We start from the raw sequence: 25582 nt of genomic DNA on the forward strand, positions 1-25582 counted from the left end.
GCATTGGCACTTGGGTCCAAATGGACCACATCACATGGCAAGGGAGGAAAAAAAAACCAATTGCTCAGGAGACAATGGGATGTGGGTGAGGGAGAGATGGGCATATTTGGCCATCCACTCCCAACACGCTCGAAAGGATTACAATAGTTAGGTTACTGGTAACATCTCTTCCCTAGGTGTGTGACCTTGTCATTTCCACAAATGGTGGCTTCTCTTCTCCCTCCCACAGCACTCAGAGGCATTTTGTCATTAGAAAACCAAAGATTTTAAAGACAGCAGAGTCTTTTCTGCTAGGAAACCCATCTCCTCCTCATGATCGTGTCTTGAGGTCTGAATAAATGTGAATGATAAAGTCACGTTTCAAAACAATACTAAAGTTCAAATATGTTACCATCATTTTGAGGAAGTTAAACAAATTATTAATCTGTATCACCTGTAAATAATATATTTCCTGCATCCTTCATCATGCTTTTTATAAGAAAGAACAAAATGTGAAACAGGAATATCCTGGGAAGATTAAGTTAAAATGTTTGTAAACATGAAAGTATGGTCATTAACACTAATATCAGTTAAAACTACAGTAACAGTAAACAGTAAGTTTGAAGCTGGAAAAAATTAATAGAGTCAAATTTTGAATCTAGTTCTACTTTTATTATCTAGTGAGTCGAGCCATTAAGAAAGAACACAGTGTAATAAAATAGAAAAGTTAGCCCATGAAACACTCCACCTTCTCCCGTCCACATCACAAACATTTCCTAAGGCAATGGAGTTAAAGAAATGAAACAAATCAATAGTTTTGTTCAGAAGACATACTTTGTAACTGAAATTTCTTCAACGTTATTTATTAAGCACCTCCTACATACATAGTCTTCTAACACAGTGACTCTGGAGCTTTGGTGTATGTCAGAATCACCTAGAGGGCTTCCTAAAACAGACTGCTAGGCCCATCCCCATGGTTTCGGATTCAGGATGTCTGGGGTGGCCACCTAAGAAGGCTCCAGGTGCTGCTCCTGTTCCAGGAATCATACTCTGAGAACCACTGTTCTAACAGAAGCACTGAAAGGTCTTTTAGTGGGGGAACAGAGGAGGCAGCAGCACCAGACTTGAGAAGTGAAATATCGAATATTTCAGACGCCGAGGCAATCACTTCAAAAGGGACTTGAATATCCTACAGAGCTTGAACATTTCAGAAACTGCAACTGAACCCTCAGGTGATAAAGGGATTCTGAAGTCACCTTTTTGGAGAACACTCAAATTTCCACTGGGCGAAAAGCATGGGGAAGTATTTAATACTAAGAATCATACTTGGAAATGTAGCCTCACTATTTCAAAAATTTGCTTTTGTCCTTTCCTATTTCCTAACAATTAACTGCAAGTTAAGTTATCGTTCTACCAAACTAGAAATACTGGGAGAAAACCCTGGTTCTTAATTTGAAGATGAAAACTGAATCATCAGGGAACCTTCACGCACTCCTGCTTCTCCCAGCCCTTTAGTGTGTGAAAAACTTTGTTTTGTTGGTAAAGACAATAAAATTTTATTATCAAAGATTGTTTTACTATATAACAGTGCTATTAGACAAGTAGATAACACAATTCCTAATTTCTACATTTTAAAAATATGTATATTTATTCAAATCAATAAACACTATGTTACATTTACTTCTGCCAGATACTAACTATGCTAGGTCCACCATATGTACAAACACAAATAAGATGAGAATTCTGTCCATAAGAAGCCAAGTATTATTTAGGATTACAAACCTTTGGTTAATTTTTCAACATGCTTCTGGAGCTCAATGTCCACATTAAAATGAACATATGTATCTTCTTTTCTTGAAGCCACAGGAGTATCTTGCACAGGAGTTAAGTCTATGCCATTCAGATCTAAAGAGAAAAGAAGTTTCTCTTTAGGAACATTCAAATATACAGACTTAAAAACTGCAGGCCAGGCACGGTGGCTCACGCCTGTAATCCTAGCACTTTGGGAGGCCGAGGCGGGCAGATGACAAGGTCAGGAGATCAAGAACATCCTGGCTAACATGGTGAAACCCCGTCTCTACTAAAAATACAAAAAAAATTAGCCGGGTGTGGTGGCGGGCGCCTATAGTCCCAGCTACTCGGGAGGCTCAGGCAGGAGAATGGCGTGAACCCAGGAGGCGGAGCTTGCAGTGAGCCGAGATCGCACCACTGCACTCCAGCCTGGGCAAAAGAGCTAGACTCTGTCTCAAAAAAACAAAAACCTGCAAACTAGGTAGGGCACGGTGGCTCACACCTGTAACCCCAGAACTTTGGGAGGCTGAGGCGGGTGGATCACTTAAGGTCAGGAGTTCAAGACTAGCCTGACCAACATGGGGAAACCCCATCTCTACTAAAAATACAAAAAAAATTAGCCAGGCGTGGTGGTGCACACCTGTAATCCCAGCTACTTGGGAGGCTGAGGCAGGAGAATCTCTTGAATCCGGGAGGCAGAGGTTGCAGTGAGCCAAGATCGCGCCACTGCACTCCAGCCTGGGCAGTAAGAGTGAAACTCTGTGTCAAAAAAACAAAAAACAAACAAAAAAACCCTGTCAACTACAGGGCGTATATTTCATAAGGATGCTTGCAGAAAGGTAAGAGGAAATTCTTGGGCTAACAGAAATTCCCATTTGGTGTGAGCAGGTACCTGAAGAGTTGCAGGTGACCACAGAGGCATGTGGAGGGGGCTGAGTGAGGGGATGGGAGATTTCGCGGTGGGAAGGAGGAAACCTGTCTCAATCAGGTACAAAAGAAAGCTTGTAGAACACAAAATTTCATCTTTATAGGGAAGAAGTGAAAAGAACTTTTTGTTTTCCTTAGGAGATAGGCCACTATATTTTTGTCTGCAATAAAAACTTAGAATGTAAATAATATGCCTCAATGGGACCTTACCCCTAATTTCCAAACTTGATCAAGTGTATGGTTTGGAAAGACCTTTAAATCTAACATTATCAGAATCCCCCTGCTGTATTCAAGTCAAAGGACCAAAAATGGACATGAAAATTGCCAATGAAACCCTTCCATCAATGAATACGTTTTTACAAATATTATCTAAATTCTCATTATATTTGTTGTAACAACCTGTTTTATACCAACTAGAAAGAACACTAAGTTATTGTGTATGGTTTTAATTTCCTGGACCCAGGAATCTTCCAGTTTAATCAAATTCAACATGGACTCATTTAATGACTACTCAAGTGTTTATGTATTATTCAACAGATTTGTCTTAGAGAACTTAAAACAATATAGTACATTGATTGTTTCAGTTCTTAAAGATATTTACAAAAACATGTTTTAGTTCAACATGTATGCAAAGGTAACTTAACAGTTACTACACTATCATTAAACATCTTTTTGTTTTGGTGTACATTCCTGCATGAGTTACGCAGTTCTGTAAATGACCTATCAAACTATAATGTAGAGTATATATACTTTCCAGTAGGCCATATATTTGATACCTGATAACATCAGAAGTTAAAGTTTCACAGCATTAATGCTGTGGATCACGGTCTCCAAATAATCCCTCTCTGTGGCAGAATTCCTTTTTATTTTAATTGGTACTAATGAACTTTTGAATCTGAATTTATTTCTATGACTGACAAAAGTTCTCTTCATTTGATTTCAGCCCCTATCTGTTTCTCTGACTTGCCTCAAATTACAGATTAAAGTAAACCACTTGGATTAGCTGTGCAGTTGTTTCTGGATAGGAGTATGACAACTTCATTCTCAATCACCCAATAATTATTTTTAAAAGACTGTTAACTACTTCATAAATAAAGTACTGTATAAAATGTTTGGCAACAATAAAAGAATTCAACCAATGTGGTTTCCCTTTGAAAGACTGAAAATGTTGTTTTTAAGGAATAAATGAACTGCCACACTGGATAGGAGAAAAAAACCAAATCCTAAGAATAATCATGCTTCCTAACCACAGTAACATAGTTAAGGATAAGAAATACTTCACTTGTTGAATGCTCCATAGGATTACATTCAGAGCATGCATACTATGGATCTATCCTTGCTTCCTGTCCTCACTGATGATTCACTTAAGGCCTGATTCTCATCCACCTTTGTAGGACTCTCCAATGTAGACCTCTCTCTTGGACAGGAAGGAGAAGGCCTAATGCAGGAGGAATCGGGAAACAGAACACTGGGCTTTGCAAACAAACCTACACATCTTTGGAAGGTGAGGGACATTCTGTTAACCTGTATCCTAAAGGATGTATCTGCTGTTAAAGATGTGTAGCCAGCACCCCAGATGGGATGTTAAGAATAAAAAGATACACACAAAGAAAAACTCAAAAGCAAAACAATGTAAGTTATAAATAAGAAAATAAGTAAATCTCTCAGAAGTGTTCTGTGAAGAAGTGATGACCTCTTCCAGGGACTTTGCCTCATGATAGAATGAACTAAAATGAGTTGTCACATACATAAGACTCCCCGCCCCACCACCAAAATAAAACTGTCCCAAATGAGAAGCAACATTATAAAATTCACCTGAGAAAAAAAAAGTAAACAGAGTCACTTACCCTTTACACTAACTGTAATATAGGGATCGATGCACTGCCCAGCATCTTTCAAACCAATTTTCTCAATTCTGATAGTGAGTAATGTCATTCCTGGTTCCGATGGCAACCTTGGTAATAAAGTACCTGGCAACAGAGAAAAAGCAATAAAAGCTCCATATCATTTCACAGTAAACATTTTAATGAACACAGAGAAGATACAGCCTTGCTTGTAACTGACTTAGTAACTAGCCAGGCATTATTTTGGTTCCCGAAACTCCCAAACGCTTGGCATTATTTTTCCAAATGTTTAATTATATGTAAGAGAAATCTGCACTTCCATGTCTCATAGTCACCACTAAAGCAGAAATTATTCAAGTCTGGCAGAAATTTAAGTCACTCCAGGAAGCCCAATTATAAATTACCACATAATTAATAATAAACTCACATACATACACTTTGTATATGCTCATTTATATAATATACTTCTCATCTCAATATGAAGTGGTAGAAGAAAAAACTTTAAAAATATTTGTTATATTATCCTAACATTTGAGAAATATAATACCAGAGTTGATCAACAAATGCTTTACTTTTTTTTTGACACAGTGTCTCACTCTGTCACCCAGGCTGGAGTGCAGTGGCACAATCACAGCTCACTGCAGCCTCGACCTCCCAGGTTCAAGCGATCCTCCCACCTCAGCCTCCCGAGTACCAGGGACTACAGGCATTTGCCACTAGTTACTATTGATATAGGAAATAATTTACAACTTAATAATTGTGTATTTAATGGAATAATTTTACAGTCTAATTTCCCATTCTTTTCCTTATGAACACTGAAGCAAAAAAACCACAAAAAAAAACAAACAAAAAAAAACCCATCCGTTGAAATTGCAATGAAGTTTAGATCAATTTTAGAAAGAACCACATCTTTAGAAATTGCTTCTTCCAATCCATCAACTGATATCTCTCAACTTTTTAAAGACTTCTTAATTTTCTCAATAGAATTTTTTTCTTTTCTTCACAAAAGTCTTATACTTCTTTTGTTGGGTTTATTATAAGATACTTGATATTTTCTGATACTATTATAGACGTTATAATATTTCATTTTCTGAGCACTTATTGCTTATTTAAAGAGAGAGGATCGATTTTTTAATAATACCTCTGCTGGCAGGAAGAACTGATTTTTATGTACAGATTTTATACTCAGGAACCCTACTCTCTTATTAATACTAATGACTTATCCATAGGTTCTCTTTCATGTTCTAAATACATATTCATAACATCTGCAAATAAAGGGACAGGTTTCCCCCCCTCTAATTTTTATATTTTATTTCTTTTTCTTATACTAGTACACTGGCCAGAACTTCTAAAGCACTGTTGAGGAAAATAGTTAACAGGAGGCACCCTTGTTTTGTTCCTGATCTGAAAAGGAAAGCTTTCCATTTTATCATTAAATATGACTGAGGCGCTAAATGTCATTACAGCTACCTTTTATCAGATTAAGAATGTTCTGTTCTTGGTCTGCTAAGAAAGTTTTAAAATCATGAAAGAAATTAGAATGTAATTGAAAAATTTTTCTGCATCTCTTGAGATCATGGGATTCTTCTCCTTAATCTGCTAATGTGAATTACCTTGATATATGTATCTTGCTGATTTAACAATATATTCTGAAAAAAAAAATCACTCAATAGTTCATGGAGATTTTCCTAATTATTTTCTGTAATAGTCCATGTATTGGCTATTTATTCAGCCAATCTTCGTATGGCAGTTAGGTTGTTTCTAATATATTACTATTACCAAAAACACCTCAATAGAGAACCTGGTGTATATGTAAGTATTTAAAAAAAAATTTTTTACACATTATTGGAGGTGTATCTTCAGAGTAAATTCCTAGGAACAGGATTGCTAAACTAAGAAAAATTGTATATTTTTGTTGTTGCTGAGCTATTGCTGAACTCTCCTTTAAAGGGACTATTACCACTTTCTATTCCCACCAGTGATAAATGAGCCCATTTCCCTGTTGTCTCAGCAACAGGGAACTGCCATATAAGGCATCTGCATGTCTTTTATCATATGTAAAGTTGAGTATCTTCTAATACATTTAAGAGCTATTTGTATATCTTGGGGTGTGTGTGTGTGTGTGTGTGTGTGTGTGTGTGTGTACTATCTGTTCATGTCTTTTGCCCAATTTTCTAATGTGTTTGGGGTCTTTGTTGTCACAACTTAAAATTTTCTTTATATATTAAGAATATTAGTCGTTTGTCATTTTGATTTTGATTATGGTGTTTTCTGACAGACAAAAGAGACAAGTTCTTTTTATGATAGACTATTTTCTCCCAAGTAAACATTAAAAATTCTTCTACCTTTAGGTGAATCAGTTTCATAACCTGTAATTGTCTAGATCTTTTAGTTGAAATAATGAGGCTGACATTTCTTTCTTCCTTACCAACAAACTTTTTTTTTGCCTGAGAATATAATAAGGTTTAATCTAACTACTAAATATATTTCTAACAATGTAATATGGAGGCAGTGATTCCAAGCTGGAAAGATACTTAATTTATTCAGTTCTTCCCTAATTCAAGGTAGAACATAAAACATTTCATCTCCACCATGAAGGTTCAGTAGTTTTATCTTTACTAAGGAACAGCTGAAGCTATGTGATTAAGACGACAGGTAATAGAGAAAGGTGTATTTCTCAGTGGTTTCTAATGTGCTCTCTCCCTGCCTAGTCAACTCCTACACTCCCTTTGAGTCTCAGTTCTGGCTAGATTACCTTTGCTAAACTCTGTCAGTCCTTTTTTCGTTCACTCATAATATACTGTGTCCACCTCTAACCATGATGATGTACTTTTTTTGGCTCTGTCTTACATGGTGAGCATCCTGAAAGACGGGATGAGTAACTGTTCATTTTTGTATTGTTTTCACTAGTAATAAAGAGATCTTTGTTTTAGAACTCTTTTATCATTTGTTGAATGATAAATGAATTTTACAGTTCTAGAGGTTATTATGCTCTATAAACATGTGGCCTGAAAACATATATCAATGTACTGCCTTATATAATATGCACGAAAGAAGATAAAATACTAGGATAATACCACACCATTCCAGGGTTAGATGAAAAAGTTAACATATTTGTGTATCAAAGATAAAAACATACAATAATTAAAAATCAAGGCAATGTATTAAAAGCAAGATTTCTAAAAGAAGAATGAACACATTCAACTGTATAGAGTAATATGAGAATAAGTAACTACATTTATAAAACTTGAAGACTGTAACTGAAGTAAGAAAAGAAATCATACATGAGCCATGAAAAACTGCGTGTTTCCAGCTAGATCATTTGCTGTTAGATCTAAAGTGAGGATCAGAAATAATAAATGTTCTTCCATATGGAAAAGCTGCATAAATAATAAACAGCCAACTTTTACAGAACATGTCAGGGTGTGCCAGGCACTGTTCTAATCCTTTACATGTACTAACTCATTTAATCCTCCCAACAACCCTATAACACAGGTGCTATAGCACCCTATAACAAGGTGTCCCATTTTTTCAGAAGTGAAAACTAAGACAGAAAAGTTAAGTAATCTGCCCACAATCATATAGCAGTTTGGCACGGGATTCCATGCTTGTAACCACCACACCTCATTTGGCCATTTCTTCATTGTCCATAGAGCCTACACAGGAGCTGTGAAATGACCTCCCCATCTCAAGGTCCTTCACATAATCACATCTGCAAAGTCTCTGTTGCCGTGTAATGTAAGAAACATATGCACAGATTCTGAGGATTGGGATGTGGACATCTTTGGGAAGGGATGCATTATTTCTGCCTCACACTTCTAAATATGAAAAGCTCTGTATGGCTACAACTGTCTAAATCAAGATTTCTCAACCTGGGTTCTGTGGAATCCCAGGGTGTCCCTGAACTCGCTAGGAGCTCCACGCAAAAGAGTGATTTCTATCAATGCACTGCCTTTAAATATGCACTAAAGACAATAAAATACGAGGATAATACTACACCATCTGCAGCCCCTGCAATGGGCTTTGTACACTGAGCAATGCAGGTTCACAGTGATGGAAAGAGACTATGCAGCCCCTATAGCAATTTTATTATAGGTCTTTGAGCCTCATATGGCAGTAAGCAGTTAAGATTATGTTCACTTGACTTGGTCCATTTAGTATTTTTTTTTTCAGGAGACAGGGGAAGCCACTGGTAGCTGATGAGCTCTATACAGCAGTCTGACGTCAGCCTCTTCAGCTTTACCTGCCCCAACCTTCCCTTATGCACCAACAGCTGAAGCAAACATGCTCTACTTGTAGCAAAGAAAACTGGAGGAAATTTTTCAATTCAATGTGATTTCTAAAGAAGAGGTATGAGCTAGGAGAGGAAGGTTCTAAGCCTAAGCATAGAGACAATTCTCCCTAAGTAAAAACAATGAATTTCAAGCTTCTGAATCATTTCACTGCACTAGTGCACTGGGAAAAACAAAAAAGTCCATTTAATGATGAGACCTACTTATTAATATGGTTGTACCTGGATGGATAATTTCCAAGTTGCCTCATCTGTGAAAAACACTTTATCAATGCAGCAATGGATCCAACAAAATCGAGAAATCGCAACTACAAGTCACAACCATTGATAAGTAAAGACACCGATTATTTTGATATCCTAATGGCCATTTAAAATAGAGTAAAGCTTTTTTTTTTTCTAAAGTAATGTTCACTTAAAAAAGGCTCAAAAAGGAAATTACTTAGTAGCAGAGCTTAATGCCCAGAGGAAGAAAAGTCACACAGTGGGCAAGGATCTCATAATGCCTGCATGTGAAATTACAAGACGTTTTTAGCACAAGATATAGTATAAGAAATTTAAAAGGCTCTATTCCCAAACCGCGCAATAAGTGGACACAAGAGATGACTTTTCATATCCTGAAGAGGTTTTGTGATAAACTATAAAAAAAAAGCTTCTCTATTGAGTCTAAAAATTTTACCAATAAATGACATGCTATAGCATTTGTAAGGTCTATAAAGAATGGTGTACTCAAGAAAACTGTTTCTGCTGTGAAGTCCCCAAACAAGCAAAGGCCAAGCTGGATTTCACGCCCTGTCCTCACGTGTACCTCTGAGGAACTGCCCTGGGCTGTACACTGTGGTGTCAAACAGAAAACGCTGACACTGTCAACTCATGGCTTTCTTCACTGAAGTGCTGCTATCAAAATTCTCACAAATAAAATGAAAACTGGTTCTAGGTATCAGAGAAATGGCTAAGTTTATTCAACAAAGACCAGTTCACTCAAGAATGTTTTGAAAATTGGCCGGGCATGGTGGCTTACACCTGTAATCCCAGCACTTTGGGAGGCCAAGGTGGGTGGATTACCTGAGGTCAGGAGTTTGAGATCAGCCTGGCCAACATGGTGAAACTCTGCCTGCACTAAAAATACAAAAATGAGCCGGTGTGGTAGTGCATGACTGTAATCGAAGCTACTTGGGAGGCTGACGCAGGAGAATTGCTTGAACCAGGGAGGCAGAGGTTGCAGTGAGCTGAAATTGTACCACTGCACTCCAGCCTGGGCGACAGAGCGAGACTGTCTCAAAAAAAAGAAAAATAAAAGAACGTTTTGAAAACTGTACAAGTGTCTAACCTAGCAACAGGGCAGGCTCTCAGAAGAGTGTGTTATAGCCACTGCCACCATGGGGAGGGGATGTGGACTGTGCAAGCAAGTCCTCTGTCCATGCTGGCCATGTGAATCCCCAGATGACCACCAAGGTGTCCAGCAATCAGTACCACTCTCCCTCCTACAGCTGGTACAGAGAAAAGCGGAGGAACATCTGAGGCCCCTCACTTACAACTTCTCTGTTCCAAGAGGAAGCTGATAAAAATGGAGATCCCAGCAAGGAGTAGGATCTTCTCACATTGACTAGTTCTGTGTGTGGCCAAAGGCACTCTGGACAATGGAGATTACGGAGAACCAGACTATGAATGGATGAGGAGTCTGGGGTTACATGGAAGGGACTTGAAGTCAGTGAAATCCTTTAAGACCCTGTCTTCACACAGAGAAGAGGAAGGCTGCCATTTCCTTTTTTGTCTTATTATTTCTGCTTTTAAAAAAATTGCTACTGTTTACATCATATACCACCACCAAAGGAAAATTTTTCTTTTGGTCCAGAAGGGCAAATGGCATGATGGTCTTTGTTCTAAAATAGTAGTATATCACCACCTAGACCAGAACGTTAAAGAGGCAATGCCTTCTCAGAAAATTACTAAGGATTGTATCTTCTGAAAACATCGTGATTTGAATTTGCTTATTAAGTTTATTTGATTTTTATATGATATTTTATAGATGCTTGTCACAGGCACTGGTACTTCAATGAGAGGTCAGTCCTTATGTTGCCTTGGTGCTTTGAAAATTAAATGTCATGAACAAAGAGTACATAATTTTTTATCCACACTTTTAGGACAGAATTCAATCAGGTGTCTAAAATGCAAACTCAACATTATCATAATATATACATATGATAATATATATACCCATGATAATATATGCATTGCTAGTTTCCACCATTTTTAACTTATCATACTTGTAATTAAATTTGCATATCTGGTACATATCTGATTTTCTCAGTCATCCAAATTTTTTTTGAGTATATATTTCTTTGTGCTGCCAAAACATAATAAAAATATACATACTTGATAATGCTTTGCATTATTTTGAGATAATTTTTAACACAGTTTAAGGTAAAGATACTGCTCAAACTGGCTACAATATTTGGTAGATGGAAGATAACACATGAAATGTGTCTTGAAAATCTGGCAATAGAAAATCTTTGCAATTTGCATTGCACATAGATAACAGGTCATAGTGATACCATTTATTTGTTTGAATTGCTGAGTTACATTTAGAGATAGAAATCGTTGTAAAATATTAAAATACATATGCAATTTATTTTAGCTAGCAATTGATAAGCAGTTGAGGAACATGGGTTCCTCAAGCTTTTAAGAGAAAGGCTTTGAAATTATAAGTTTGTTCATTTTGAAATTATCTTAAAAGTTTGACAAAATCTTAGGGGCCATTATCATTGAAATAATATCGTATGTAGGTCTGTTGAATTAAAACTATACCTGATTAAAGTTGTTTGTAAACACAACCATACACTTCAGATGATATTAACTGCTTGGCCCCTAAACATGTTCTGGATTTCCACAAAAAAGGAAAGCCCTGATAGTCACAGGAAAGCAATGAACATTTGCTGCAGTTTTTGACTTTCTTACATGTGTGTTAGCAAGAAAAGAAACTGCTTCATTTCAGCGGAAAATAAAATCCATGCTTTCTTATCTTTCAAGTTCAACTCAGAATTGAATAGTTATGCAGCAGAAAACAAATACAGGTTTGACATTAAATAGGTAAATTTCATTCTTTATTTTGAGTTTCAAAAATAATGTTTTATGCATACATAAGCCTACGTAAGAGATGAAGAACCAGTACCTATGTATAATAATTCTGAAACTGCTAGGACTATTTGAGCTTGGATCATGTTACTTAGTAAGAAAATCTTTTTAAAAGTCTTGTGTAAAGTTGTGTCTTGGCTATTTTTAAAGTTATATTGCTTTGGTTTATCATTTTATAGCTTTACTATTCAAGACTATCAGTAAATTTTTAGGTTATAAATAATAGGCTATAAGCTTATACTTTCTATTTAAATGAAATCTACCAAGACTATCTTTAGAAAAGTTAACTCCCATTTTGGCTAAGCCAATTATATAACATAAATATGTTTGTCTTAAAAAATTTAAATATTTTGAAAAGGAAGGAAGGAGATTAATATCAAGAAAGGTAAGTAAGCTTGACTACCTTTTTTTTATTTTCATGAAAGGCTGGCTAAAAAGTTTTTAATTTTAAATTTTAAATCAGAAAAAAACTATTCTTGGTCATTCCGTATCTACATACCATACATCATACCCTCACACCTCATTATCTTAACAGTGGTAGTGGTTAGTATATGAGTTGGTCAAAACTCATTAAAGGTACATATTAAAAAGAATGAATTTCTTTTTTTTTTTTGAGACGGAGTCTGGCTGTTGTTAGCCTGGGTTGGAGTACAATGGCACAACCTTAGCTCACGGCACCTCCGCCTCCCAGGTTCCAGCAATTCTCCTGCCTCAGCTTCCCAAGTAGCTGAGATTACAGGTGCCCACCACCACGCCTGGCTAATTTTTGTATTTTTAGTAGAGACGGGGTTTCACCATGTTGGCCAGGCTGGTCTCGAACTCCTGACCTCAGGTGATTCACCTGCCTCGGCCTCCCAAAGTCTTGGAATTACAGGCATGAGCCACTGTGCCCAGCCAAGTGAATTTCACATATGTAAATATCCTAGTAAAACTGATTTTAAATTTTGGGTTCCCTTTGGGTAACAAGAAAGTTTTTCTTGCTCTATAATTAAAAGTTAAGTATCATCTTGCTATTTCAATGACATTTTCAATGAATATAATTTTACAAGTTATTTTTTAATAACACAGGCCCTGAACAATATGATCCCAAACCAAATATAGCTAATTAAACCATACATACTCTTTCTTTTAGGGGGGAAAAAAATTCAGGGACTAGAAAGGTTCAGTAAGGCATCTGTATCTCTGAAATGAAATATCACAATGCTATATCAGAATACAAATTCAGTTTGGGCTTTATCTTACATAGCAAATGGATTTAATTTATGGTAGAAGTTCCTTTTCAACTTAGCAACCTGAACCCCATAAAGACCTTAATCTGCCCACTTCATGATTTACATCATCTGCTTCTTGTTTGCTACAGAAGTACAGTAAGCAGGAAAACAACCAAATCAGATAGAAATTTATAGAACTGGAAGCTATACCAATTACAGTATGTGGTTTGAAACGGCAATAAAAATTATCGAGTCAGTGAAACAGCAAAATATCTCACCATCTTGGCAACCTTGAAATACCCTATAAAAGCAAGAAAAATATAGCTCTATCTTCATAAAGCAAAGTAAATTGGAAATAATGCCCTTGTACCAAAGAAACATTATTAACAATAAGAGCTACCATTGATAGTGCCTGCAATGTTTCCAATAACCCTGCAGTATAGGTACTGTTATCCCCATGTAGAGAGGATGACAAGCGTAACAGCCACCACTAATATTCAGCATATGAAAAATACAATGCTAAATGGTTTATACTTAGTATCTTGTTAATCTTCACAGTAACCTTATGAGTTAGGCACTATCATTATCCCATTTTATAAAGAAACAGAAGTTCAGATTGGTTTAGGACACAGGTGCAAAGTCACTCAACTAGTAATTGGCAGAGCCCAGACTCAAAAGCCCAGTTATCTGTTGGTCCAAGCCTATATTGTTCCTACTCCAAATGACTACTGTTCAAGGAGTATTCAAAATACTGGAATATTAATTATGAAGAAAGCTATCTGAACAGCACACAGATTGTATTTAACTATAATGGAAAGCTTCTAGAATCTCTTCTAAAATGCATCACAATATTATAGCAGATTGCTATACTTCCTAAAGTAAACTAGTTTATTAGAAATAAAAACTGTACTTTATAAGAACAGAACAGAGTAAAGCAGTAATTGGGAGAGGCAAGAAATTTACCCAGGGTGCTTGCCAAGGTTATTTACAGGGAGGGAAGATACTCATGGAGAGCTTCCAGAAATAAAAAAGTTTCCGTATATTCTTTGCTTCCCTAAAACAAGATGGGGAAGAAAGGGCAATTGTTCAATATCCACTCCCATGGGTCCACTTTTAACCACCACAATTTGATTAATTAAAGAAGTACTTATGGCCGGGCGCAATGGCTCATGCCTGTAAACCCAGCACTATGAGAGGCTGAGGCAGGTGGATCACCTGAGGTCAGGAGTTCGAGACCAGCCTGGCCAACATGGCGAAACCCTGTCTCTACTAACAATACAAAAATTAGCCGGGTGTGGTGGCATGCACCTAGAATCCCAGCTACTTGGGAGGCTGAGATGCGAGAATTGCTTGAAACCTGGGAGGCGGAGTTTGCAGTGAGCCGAGATGGTGCCACTGCACTCCAGCTTGGGTGACAGAACGAGACTCTGTCTCAAAACAAAACAAAACAAAACAAAAGAAGTACTTATGACAGTCTACAGAAAAGAATTAACATAGCAGGCCTAAGACTGTTATTCTTAGAAAACCTCCTTGCCAGGTCAGCCCATGGCTGGCATCTGGGATCTTGGATTTGGGGAGGGTTCCCACCATTCCCTGATAAGAATGGTCACTGTGCCTAAACTGTGTGAACAATATGGTTTGTGCTAAACATCTTGTTTCTTCTGTAGTCTGGAATTGTGGTCTGTGCCAGGCAGAAGGTACCCACATAATCAGTCCCCAATAAAAGCTTTGGGCACTGACTCTAAAGAGCTTCTCTAGTAGACAACATTGTGCATTTCACATGTTGTCACAACTTGTTGAATGGGAAATTAAGCACATCTTATGTGACTCTACTGGAAGGGGATTCTTGAAAGCTTGCATCTGGTTTCCTCCAGACTTTGCACATATGCCTTTTCTGTTTGCTGATTTTGTTCTTGTGTTCTCTTGTAATGAATCCTAGCTATGAATACAACTACATAGTGAGCCTTGTGAGTTGTCCTAGTGAATCACTGAACATGGGAATGGTCCTGAGGACCCCTGACACAGATAGTAAGATAACTTCACACCATACTTATGAAATAGCTACTGCCAATAAAATTTGCCTAAGATTGGCATGAGCTTTAGAGTGGTTGTACTGCCCCACTAGCAAATACCAAAGAAAGTTTCAAACACCCTGACTCTGGTTGCAGTTAAATAATGTTTATTTTTAATAAGTGATACCTACCGGGAACTCTAGCAGGAAAAGAATCAGGAGACCCTGCTCCAGCACCACCCTCTTCTTCATCTTCTTCAAATTCCAAATTCTCTTCTTCACCAGGTGCCAAAATTCTTCTACACAAAAAAAGGGCAGAAAAAACAACAAACTGCAAAACTAAATATACTAGTGAAGCCTCACAGACACTCGTTTCCCAGGCAAGATGCTGATATAAAAAAATGCTGATAGGCCGGGTGTGGTGGCTCATGCTTGTAATCCTAGCACTTTTGGAGGCCGAGGCGGGCAGACTGCCTGAGCTCAGGAGTTCGAGACCAGCCTGGGCAATACGGTGAAATCCCGTCTCTACTAAAATACAAAAAAATTAGCTGGGCGTGGCATCGTGCACATGTAATCCCAGTTACTTGGGAGGCTGAGGCAGGAGAATTGCTTGAACCCAGGAGGCGGAGGTTGCAGTGAGCCGAGATAGCGCCACTGCATGCCAGCCTGGGTGACAAAGCAAGACTCCATCTCAAAAAAATAATAATACTGAAATAAAATAAAATGCTGATATACTGTTATCATTGTTGATGTCAATGATATCAATAATACCAAAGTTGATATTTAAGAAAACCCAGAACTATCTGAAAGAGAGGTATAAAATAAAATAAGAAAACAAATATAAATGTTTCTTTTACCTTAATGGGACAGGCTGAACATCAAATGGGAATTCTTTATTATATGTAAGAATATTCTTTAGGACTAGAATAAGAAGATAAAGAAACATGAATTCTTCCATGAAGCAAAATCAAAAATTATATCTTAAATGATTAATTTTTAATCAATTTTATTGTGCATATTAATATATATAAATTCCCAGCCTTACCACCATTTGAGAGCTACACAGTACATTTGTCCACTGAAGTCTTAGCAAAATTAAAATATCCATGATATACTCTAGGTACCAGTATCTTCAGAGTAATGTCAGATCTCCAAGAAGAGTAAGTTCCAGAGTCTCAGAGCCCTCATGAAAACTGAGTCCTATCTACAAGTTCCTAGGTGAGACATGGGGTACCAGAAAAAGAGAATGCCTCCTCCCTATAGTACTTTAATTAAAAGATTTGAGCCTGGGCAACACAGGGAGACTCCTATCTCTACAAAATAAAAATAAAAATTAGCCAGGCATGGTGGCGCAGGTCTGTGGTCCCAGCTACTCAGGAGGCTGAGGTAGGAGAATCACCTGAGCCTGGGAGGTCAAGGCTGCAGTGAGCCATGATCACGCCATTGCAAGAATGATACTCTGTTTCAAAAAAAGTTGTATAAAAGATGCCCAGTTAGAGATACATGAGTACATTTTATTCTCTGTCCTGAGATTTCCTCTCAATGCCATCAAACTGGTAGTTTGTAGCAGCAAGGTTATAATTCTCATATTTCTTTTATGATAAAATTTATTATACTGAGTCCTGGCATTCTGAGTCTTAAAAAATTATTATAATCAGTCATGCACCACATAATAATGTTTCAGTCAGCGACAGACCACATACATGACAGTGGTCCCATAAGATTACAATGGAACTGAAAAATTCCAACTGCCTAGTATAAACTGTACTTTTTATAGTATATTGTTTACATAGAACTTACTGTACTTACTACATTTTTTGTCATTATTTTAGAGTGTACTTCTTCTACTTACTAAAAAAAAGTTAATTTTTTTTTTTTTTGAGACAGAGTCTCGCTCCGTTGCCCAGGCTAGAGTGCAATGGCATGATCTCAGCTCACTGCAACCTCTGCCTCTCAGGTTCAAGCAATTCTCCTGCCTCAGCTTCCCGAGTAGCTAGGATTACAGGCATGAGCCAACAAACCTGGCTAATTTTTGTATTTTTATAGAGACGGAGTTTTGCCATGTTGGCCAGGCTGGTCTCGAACTCCTGACCTCAGGTGATTGCCTGCCTCAGCCTCCCCCCAGAAAAAGTTAATTATAAAACAGCCTCAGGCAGGTCCTTCAGGAGGTATCAGAAGAAGGCATTGTTATCATAGGAGATGACAGCTCCATGTGTGTTACTGCCCTGGAAGACCTTCCAGTGGGACAAGATGTGGAGGTGGAAGACAGTGATATTGATGATCCTGACCCCGTGTAGGCCTAAGCTAATGTGTGTGTGTGTGTGTTTCTTAGTTGTTAAAAAAAAGTTTAAAGAGTAAAAACAAAAATTAAAATAGAAAACACTTATAGAATAAGGACATAAAGAAAAAATATTATTGTGGCTGGCGCATTGGTTCACACCTGTAATCCCAGCACTTTGGGAGGCTGAGGCAGATGGATCCCTGGCAGACAGGAGTTTGAGACCAGCCTGGCCAACACAGTGAAACCCCATCTCTACTAAAAATACAAAAAAATTAGCCAGGCCTGGTGGCACACGCCTGTAATTCCAGCTACTCCAGAGGCTGAGTCATGAGAATTGCTTGAACCCAGGAGATGGAGGTTGCAGCGAGCGGAGATCATGCCACTGCACTCCAGCCTGGTCAACAGAGCCAGACTGTCTCAAAAGCTGTCTCAAGAAAAAAGAAAATATGTATGTGTGTGTGTGTATATATATATATATATATATATATATATATATATATATACACACATACACACACACACATATATATACATATATATGTATATATATGTATATATATATACACACACACACACATATATATACACACACACACACGTATATATATTTGTACAGCTGTACAAAGTGTTTGTATTTTAAGCTAAATGATATTACAAAAGAGTCAAAAGTTTTAAAAAGTTAAAGTTAATAAAGTTTATATACAGTAAACTAAGGTTAATTTATTATTAAAGACAGGATAATTTTTACAATAAATTTAGTTTAGCCTAATTGTACAGTGTTTATAAAGTCTACGGTAGTGTACAATAATGTCCTAGGCCTTCATATCCACTTATCACTCACTCACTGACTCACCCAGAGCAACTTTCAGTCCTGCAAGCTCCATTCATAGTAAGTACCCTATAAAGGCATACCATTTTATTATCTTTTATATGTACTTTTACTATCCTTTTTCTACTATGTTCAGATAGGTTACATACATAAAAACTTACCACTGTGTTACAATTGCCTACAGTATTCAGTACAGTAACAGGTTGTAGAGGTTTGTAGCCTAGGAGCAATAGGCTATACCATATAGGCTATACCATCTAGGTTTGTGTAAGTGCACTCTATGATGCTCACACAACAAAATCACCTAAGGATGTATTTCCTTGAGTGCATCCCTGTCATTAAGTGACAAATGATTGTATATATACACATGTACTTCCATATTTATATACACACATTCACAAAGAGGGATTTATCCTGAAGAGAAGACTTCAAACAATATGGGACCACCTCCTGTGTTCTGGCTGTGACCAATCTGTATTTCAATGATTACATTCTGGCATGTAAACTTAAAGAGAGGCATCTTACAATTCTAGCTACCTCTGAAGGGTATGTATGTAATTCAGTTTCATTTCTGGCCTTATGGGTGCCCAGTAACTACTCGTGATTACATTAAAGTGAATTCATGGCATAAACTGGAAGACCTAAAAGGCTTCCATGATTTTGTACTCAGTTTACTCAATCTTTAATTTTGGAGTCCTGCAGTTTAGAGCTAAAATGGGTGTGGCATATTGGCATCCCAAAGGAGGAAATCCAGAGACTGCATGTTGCAATTCCGTGACTTACTCCAACATTCCTTCATCTTATTCTTATATTATAATCTATACGTTTATATGTATATAATCTTATAATATATACTCTTCATACATATAATCTATACCTTCTTATATATATAATCTTATATACATAATCCACAGTATATTCATTCTTATGTATGTAATCTATACCAAACCCTCCTGTGAGAAAGAACTCTGAGGCTGGTGTCTAGATTCTCATTCATTCTCTTTCTTTCTTCTTCTCAACAAATATGGATTGAGTGCCTATAATGTTCCAATCACTGATTTAGATGCTGAAGAGAACAGTGATAAAGACAGAGAGTCTTTGCCCTCATATATGGATCTCAGACTCTCATCAGAAAAAGCAATAAGCCAACAAGTAAGAATGTAACTGTGATTAGTGTTATAAAGGACACAAACAGGATGAGTGTGTAAATGGATTAAGTAGAGAAGAGGGAAAACTTTAGCTAAGGTAGACAGGGTAAGCCTTTCAAAACCAAATTATTAGAAGACATTTGAGCCATGACCTAGGATGAGAGGAACCATATGCAGGCAGCTGTAGGGAAAGGGCTTTCCAGGGATTAGCGAACAGCCTGGAGCAACAACAAAGGCTCTGAGGCAGAAACTAGTCAGGCTTATTCAAGGAATAAATCAACTGTATAGCAGAAGTTTGATAAGCAAGGCAGAAGTGGCAGAAGATGAAAGTTAGAAGGTTTGAAATCAAATCCTAGCCCAAGAATTATGCCAAGACTTCAACATTCACATAGCCACTCTGAATCTCAGTTTCCTCAATTCTACAATGAGAACATTTCCTTCAGAGTCTGTTGTCAGAATTAAAATCACGAAATTACATAGAAAAATTTAAAGTACAAGTATAAACCTACATTATTATATAACTCATTCTCTACCACTATTTAGCCGACTAGAATCCTTGCATTTCAGATCTCACTAAAAAGCACTATTTTTAAAAAAAAAATTATAAGAACATCCTTTCTAAACTTCGTACATGATAGCTCATTGTTAGTAAATGGTTAATTCAACTCAATAAATATCAATTAATCACTAACATAATATTGTATTAGATACTAAGAATGGGAAAGGGGAACAGGTGACAAAAAAGACCATGTGTCAGTCATATCAGAAACAAAAACATATAGTAATATTTTAATAATAAAATGGGGGAAAAAATCAACCTTTACATTTGTATAAAACACCAACAAAAAAGCTGAAAACTGTATCAGTTACTAGGAGTATCTTCCCTTTGTATTGTAATAGAAGAATTAAACAGTATTTTCTTAGGTATCAATGTTTTGAAAAGGAAATGTTTGTTCTGGCATAATAACCTTTCATTATTTTGTTTTTACAAATGTAGAGTGTATCAAATATTTAATATATGTGGATAATGTTGGAAGGAAAAACAATCCTTTCTTATTTTCTGTAGGATAGGTTTCCATTTTCACCAATTATAGAATAACAGGGATTCCAATGTCCTTTAAAAACAGGATTTACCTTAAACTTTACATAGGGTTTTCCTTCCACTAGTACTACTAATTATACTTTAGGAGGATGCGGAGAAGGGGAGAGGTGAGTTTATAATTTCACAGAAGGTATTAAATGAACACAAAGTACATCATGGGTTGGGGACTCACTGGCTCATTCAGTAGACTCTACACACTGAGGACCTCTGAATGGCAGACGTGGGGATGTACCCTACTAGTAAAAACTCTGCACTCCTAGCCTGCTCTCACGGAGCACAGACCTGCCACCCTCCTGAAGCTTACACTCTAGAAATGACACACACACAAATATCAACATGTGTTCTCTTTGCCACTGACTTGTTTCATTTTTGTGGTAGGCAAAATGGGTAACTGTTCCCATCTGAAAGATTATTTTTTAATTATGAGAAGTTTCCCTGAAGACATTCAATTCTATTCAATGTAACAAAATTTGCCATGCCCATATTACATACAAAGCACTGAATCAGGCTCTGTGGGAAAAATACAAAGGTTATTCACAATCTCTTTGAGGAGTGAAATGAATACAGGGCAAACAATGAAGATGGATATAAAAAGTGTTACTATAAAAGATAGGAAGCCGAGTTTAATATGGCTAGGGGAACAGAGAAAGATGGGACATCTGAGGGACTTTGAAGGATGAATTTATGGAAGGGAATTTTACAGGGTCATGAAGAGATATGTTTGAGTAAGAAGTAGTATGTGACTGAGGATTATTATAAGCAAATTAAATGTATTTTCACCATCAGTATGAATTTCAGACATGATTTTCAAGAGATTTTTTAAAACTGAAGAATACATCAGCAAAACAACCAACCTAGTCCAACATACTGCAAGTTATAGTCATTAATTTTCCTTAGAAGTGGCTACTAAGGGCTGAAGTGAAACAGAGCAAATCATTTCAGCTTTGTTCAACTATAAAGTGAGAGAACTCAACTATATGACTCTTAAAACTCCTTTCTGTTCTAAAATGCTATGATTTTATGATTCCCTACTTAGATATTTGACTTAGATGGATAAATAGACTCTATATACATAATAATGTTAAGATGTGCAGTCTTGTCTCAATGAAAAATGAGAATATTGATTTATATTCATTTAGTTTTATATTCAACTCTTGTGCATTTGCCCATATTGCAAAGAACATTCATCTAAACCAGCAAAAAAGCTTTATTTGGCAGCATACTAACCATCAAAACATTTGAAGAAATTATTTACTTCAAAAGAGTTTTAAGGAGAAAGGAAAATGAAGACAACAAAAAAAATATTTTGCAGAGCAGCTCCAACAGCTGGACTGTAGTTTTCAATGACATGTAGTGTAAATGGGAATCAATGACTAAAGCTTTATATTCTCCAATAGATGCTGCTGCAAATGTTTACCAAAGTAATTGTGGTTTTATTAAAGTGAGTAAGACAAAATAAAGGCTAATACATATTTAGATGAGGTACAACCTCATATATTCTACAACGAAGGTAAAATCCAAAAAATAATTACTACAAATGTTACAGAAGTAACAAAAGCACCCAAAAAATCACATAGGACTAGATATTAACAGAAATAAATCAAATCATAATCTTTGTTAAATAGCCTTAACATCTACAATAGATTATTTTTCCAAAGGAGTATCACAAAAAAATATAAACTTAAACTTACTTGGTTCTAGCTTCTTCAGGTCCTCCAGTTTAAATTCTTCTTGAGACTGTGTGGACTAAATTTAAAATAAGCATATTACATCTTTTCACTACAAGGATTTCACTGCACCCTGTCTTTTAAGTGGCAAGAACCAAATATTCAAAAGGATTCTATTTCTTGCTTTCAAGGTAGAAAATGAAAAGTCCCAAACTGGTTTTTGTTTATTTTTGGAACACTCAGGCCAAAAATAACAGAAAAAATTGAAGTCATATCTTTTATTTTACAATTTACGAAATATGAACTAAAAAAGTATGAATTTAATAGATGTTGTTATAAAACACTTCTGAGACAATACTGCTTTTGACATAAATGTCTAATGTTTTATCACAATAATGCAGAATAATTTATTTTCCTTGTATTACAGAAGAGAAAAACTCCTTACCTGTAAAGCTGCACTTCGCAATTCCAAGCATGTTGCAATTTTGCCTATGGTTTTCTGCAGGGGAATAAAAAAAGCTATAAATACCAGAATTATCATAACTGTTAGTTCAAATCATCAAGTTAATTTTTATTAATAAAAGATCCATAATTCTCTTAAGTAAGTTAAATTTTATTTCTTTCTAGCATCTTTCAGACTCTAGAGAAAAGAAATAAGAGGCAAAGGGTTGGGATGAGGGAGAGAAGGTGAGTATATATTCTCCCCTGACCTAATGTGCCACAACTAATTCTAAATCAAGTTTGCTTTGATGACAGCTGTAGATATGATTTAAAGGGCTGCCTGGTATCTTCTGTTCCAAGCTTCACCTTTTCTTCTCCATAAAGCCTAAAATTCACCTTTTAAAAGGCTTAAAAATATCTGAAAGTTAGCACAATGGTATAATTAATTTAATTCTGACTTAAGTCCAACACCAACTTGTTTAATATATAGGCAACACTAAGCAAAACTGGTATTTGTGATAAACGGTAGTAAATTTTATAGTTGGATCTGTTTCATATAACATGAGCTATAAAATGGATATTAATGATAGGGCATAGATAGTGTTTGCCTTTAATAAGCTCATGTTGCATTAGGAGAGATAAGACACATACAGAATCACTATAAAATAAAGCAGACATTTGATTGTATGAACTTTAGCAAGGTATGCCACTATATGACCTAAAGAAACAGAACAAGATCTGTATTAGGAATCAAGCCCCAACGACCAGGAGGATTTCTAAAATTAAAGGGTTTAGAAAATTGTCATGGTTCAATTGTCTAAAGTCTCAAACTGAAAGCAGGCAGAAAAGTAAAGTTGAGAGAAGGGGGCTGTCATTCTGAGGTGGACCTTCAATAACCAGCTGAGGAATCTGTGATTACTTTAGCAGTAATTACACAGAAGGGATTTTTTTGTGTTTTGGTTTTCTCTACCTCTTTCAGATCTGCCCTTTAAGAAGACCATTGTGGCCGGGCGTGGTAGCTCACGCCTGTAATCCCAGCACTTTGGGAGTCCAAGGCAGGCAGATCACTTGAGGTTGGGGGTTCAAGACCAGCCTGGCCAACATGGCGAAACTCTGTCTCTACTAAAAATACAAAAATTAGCCAGGTATGGTTGCACATGCCTGTAGTCCCAGCTACTGGGAAGGCTGAGGCGGGAGAATCGCTTAAACCTGGGAGGCGGAGGTTGCAGTGAGCTGAAATCATGCCACTGCACTCCAGCCTGGGTAACAGAGTGAGACTCCATCTCAAAAAAAAAGAAGACTATTGTGATAAAAGTATACATAGGTTGAAGTAGGAAAGGGCAAAGACTAAAGGCAACATCAATCAGGTTATTTCAATTGTCCAGGTAAATAGTAATCAGAACAAAAATATGAATAACTAGGGTAGAAATTAAAGGGAGATTCATATAAGAAACATATATCAGGGCAGGCAGCTAATTATGCCCATCAAGGCTTTTAAGTCCTTCCAAAAGAGATACTTCTTAAGTTTTTATTAGGAATAAATCCAGATCATAAAAGTATTTATGCACAATGTCTGCAATGCCTGCACAATGAAATATTCTGGGAAGGAAAAAAGCATGTTTTTCTAAATGTATTGATAACTTGCAAAAGTTTAGTAAATTGGACTCGGTGGTTTTCTCTTTTATCAATTTTCTTTGGAAGGTGAATAAGGAGCAAATTGGAGTAACAAGTGCCATCCTGGCCCCTAGCACTTATGCAACTACCACATCTACAATAAACGGCGATACAACAACTCACAAAATAAACCACTACTGAGCAAGATACGACTCGATGCCGAAGAATAAGTGACAATATTGAACCATTTCCACAATCTCTAAAAATTAGTTTTAATCCCAACACAAGAGTTTAGAAGATGTCCAATTTTATTCTGAAAACTTACATTTAAAGATTACATTTGAAAATTACATTTATATGTGGCAACTGCAAAAGATTTCACGATATTCACAGATTTATTCACTCTCTCAAACAACTGTTGCATAGAAACCAGCAAATAGTCTTTTCTACGTAGAATCCAATATCCTCAAATTATTGTTATTCAAACACGCCACTCAATTCTAACAAAACTAGTAAATAATTCTAAACATAAATATAATAGTAATAGTAATGGCTAACAACTACTGAGCACTTACTAAGTGACAGGCTCTCCTAAGTGATTTACAAACAGTAATTCTTTTAATCCTCACTATAACTCTATGAGTTAGATAAAACCATTTTAAAAGTGTGAAAACTGAAGCACAGAGAGGTTAAGTAACTTGCCCTAGGCATCAATGCCTTCTCCCATCCAAGTATTAATCAGGACCAACCCTGCTTAGCTTCTGAGATCATACAAGATTGGGAGCATTCAGGGTGGTATGGTGGCAGACCAGCAATGCCTTCTATGCAATATAGCAATATATATAATAAAGCAATATTTTTATATCAATACCATTTAGCTATACTTTCATGTTCTTTGAAAACAGATTTTTAAAAAGAATTTTGTCTGTATTAAGTGAGATATGTCAATTACTAAGTCTTTTAAAGCATTACTTTCTTTTCCTTTCTTTACTGTAAAATCCATGTGATTTCATGCTTTTAACATTTAAGGTAAAATGTTGTAGTTTAACAACTATGAGTCCACCAATAAACTATTTTAAATTTAAACATTTCTTGAAGCAGAAGCAACAGGTGTTTTTTGTTTGTTTTTGTTTTTTTTTAATATACGGAGTCTCACTCTGTTGCCCAGGCTGGTGTGCAGTGGCACGGTCTCAGCTTACTGCAACCTCCGCCTCCCAGGCTCAAGCGATTCTCCTGCCTCAGCCTCTCGAGTAGCTGGGATTACAGGCATCCACCACCGCGCCCGGCTAATTTCTGTATTTTTATTAGAGACAG

General features: G+C 36.5%; 1 protein-coding gene across 2 annotated transcripts in view, besides 1 other annotated feature; it reads right to left on the bottom strand.

The window, feature by feature from the left end:
* Positions 1-25582, bottom strand: part of AIDA (axin interactor, dorsalization associated) — a 44479-nt gene that overhangs the window by 3539 nt on the left and 15358 nt on the right. Inside the window, exons 3-8 of one of the 2 annotated variants that reach the window (NM_022831.4) lie at positions 22659-22712; positions 22238-22292; positions 16044-16107; positions 15379-15485; positions 4545-4667; positions 1762-1884 (exon numbers count right to left, since the gene is read on the bottom strand). In NM_022831.4, the coding sequence (NP_073742.2) occupies positions 1762-1884; positions 4545-4667; positions 15379-15485; positions 16044-16107; positions 22238-22292; positions 22659-22712 (526 nt within the window). Of the gene's footprint in view, positions 1-1761; positions 1885-4544; positions 4668-15378; positions 15518-16043; positions 16108-22237; positions 22293-22658; positions 22713-25582 lie in introns of those variants that run through there. The other variant, XM_047428100.1, reaches the window with a different exon arrangement.
* Positions 22941-23110: an enhancer, noted in NCBI's record as "experimental_5183 CRE fragment used in MPRA reporter constructs". NCBI's record gives its function as "activates a minimal promoter by MPRAs in K562 erythroleukemia cells, with activity observed for the introgressed 1:222867919 variant allele {active_cell/tissue: K562}" and the evidence as "EXISTENCE:reporter gene assay evidence [ECO:0000049][PMID:34662402]".

This window comes from Homo sapiens, chromosome 1 (assembly GCF_000001405.40).
Source record: "Homo sapiens chromosome 1, GRCh38.p14 Primary Assembly".
Classification (NCBI taxonomy): domain Eukaryota; kingdom Metazoa; phylum Chordata; class Mammalia; order Primates; family Hominidae; genus Homo; species Homo sapiens.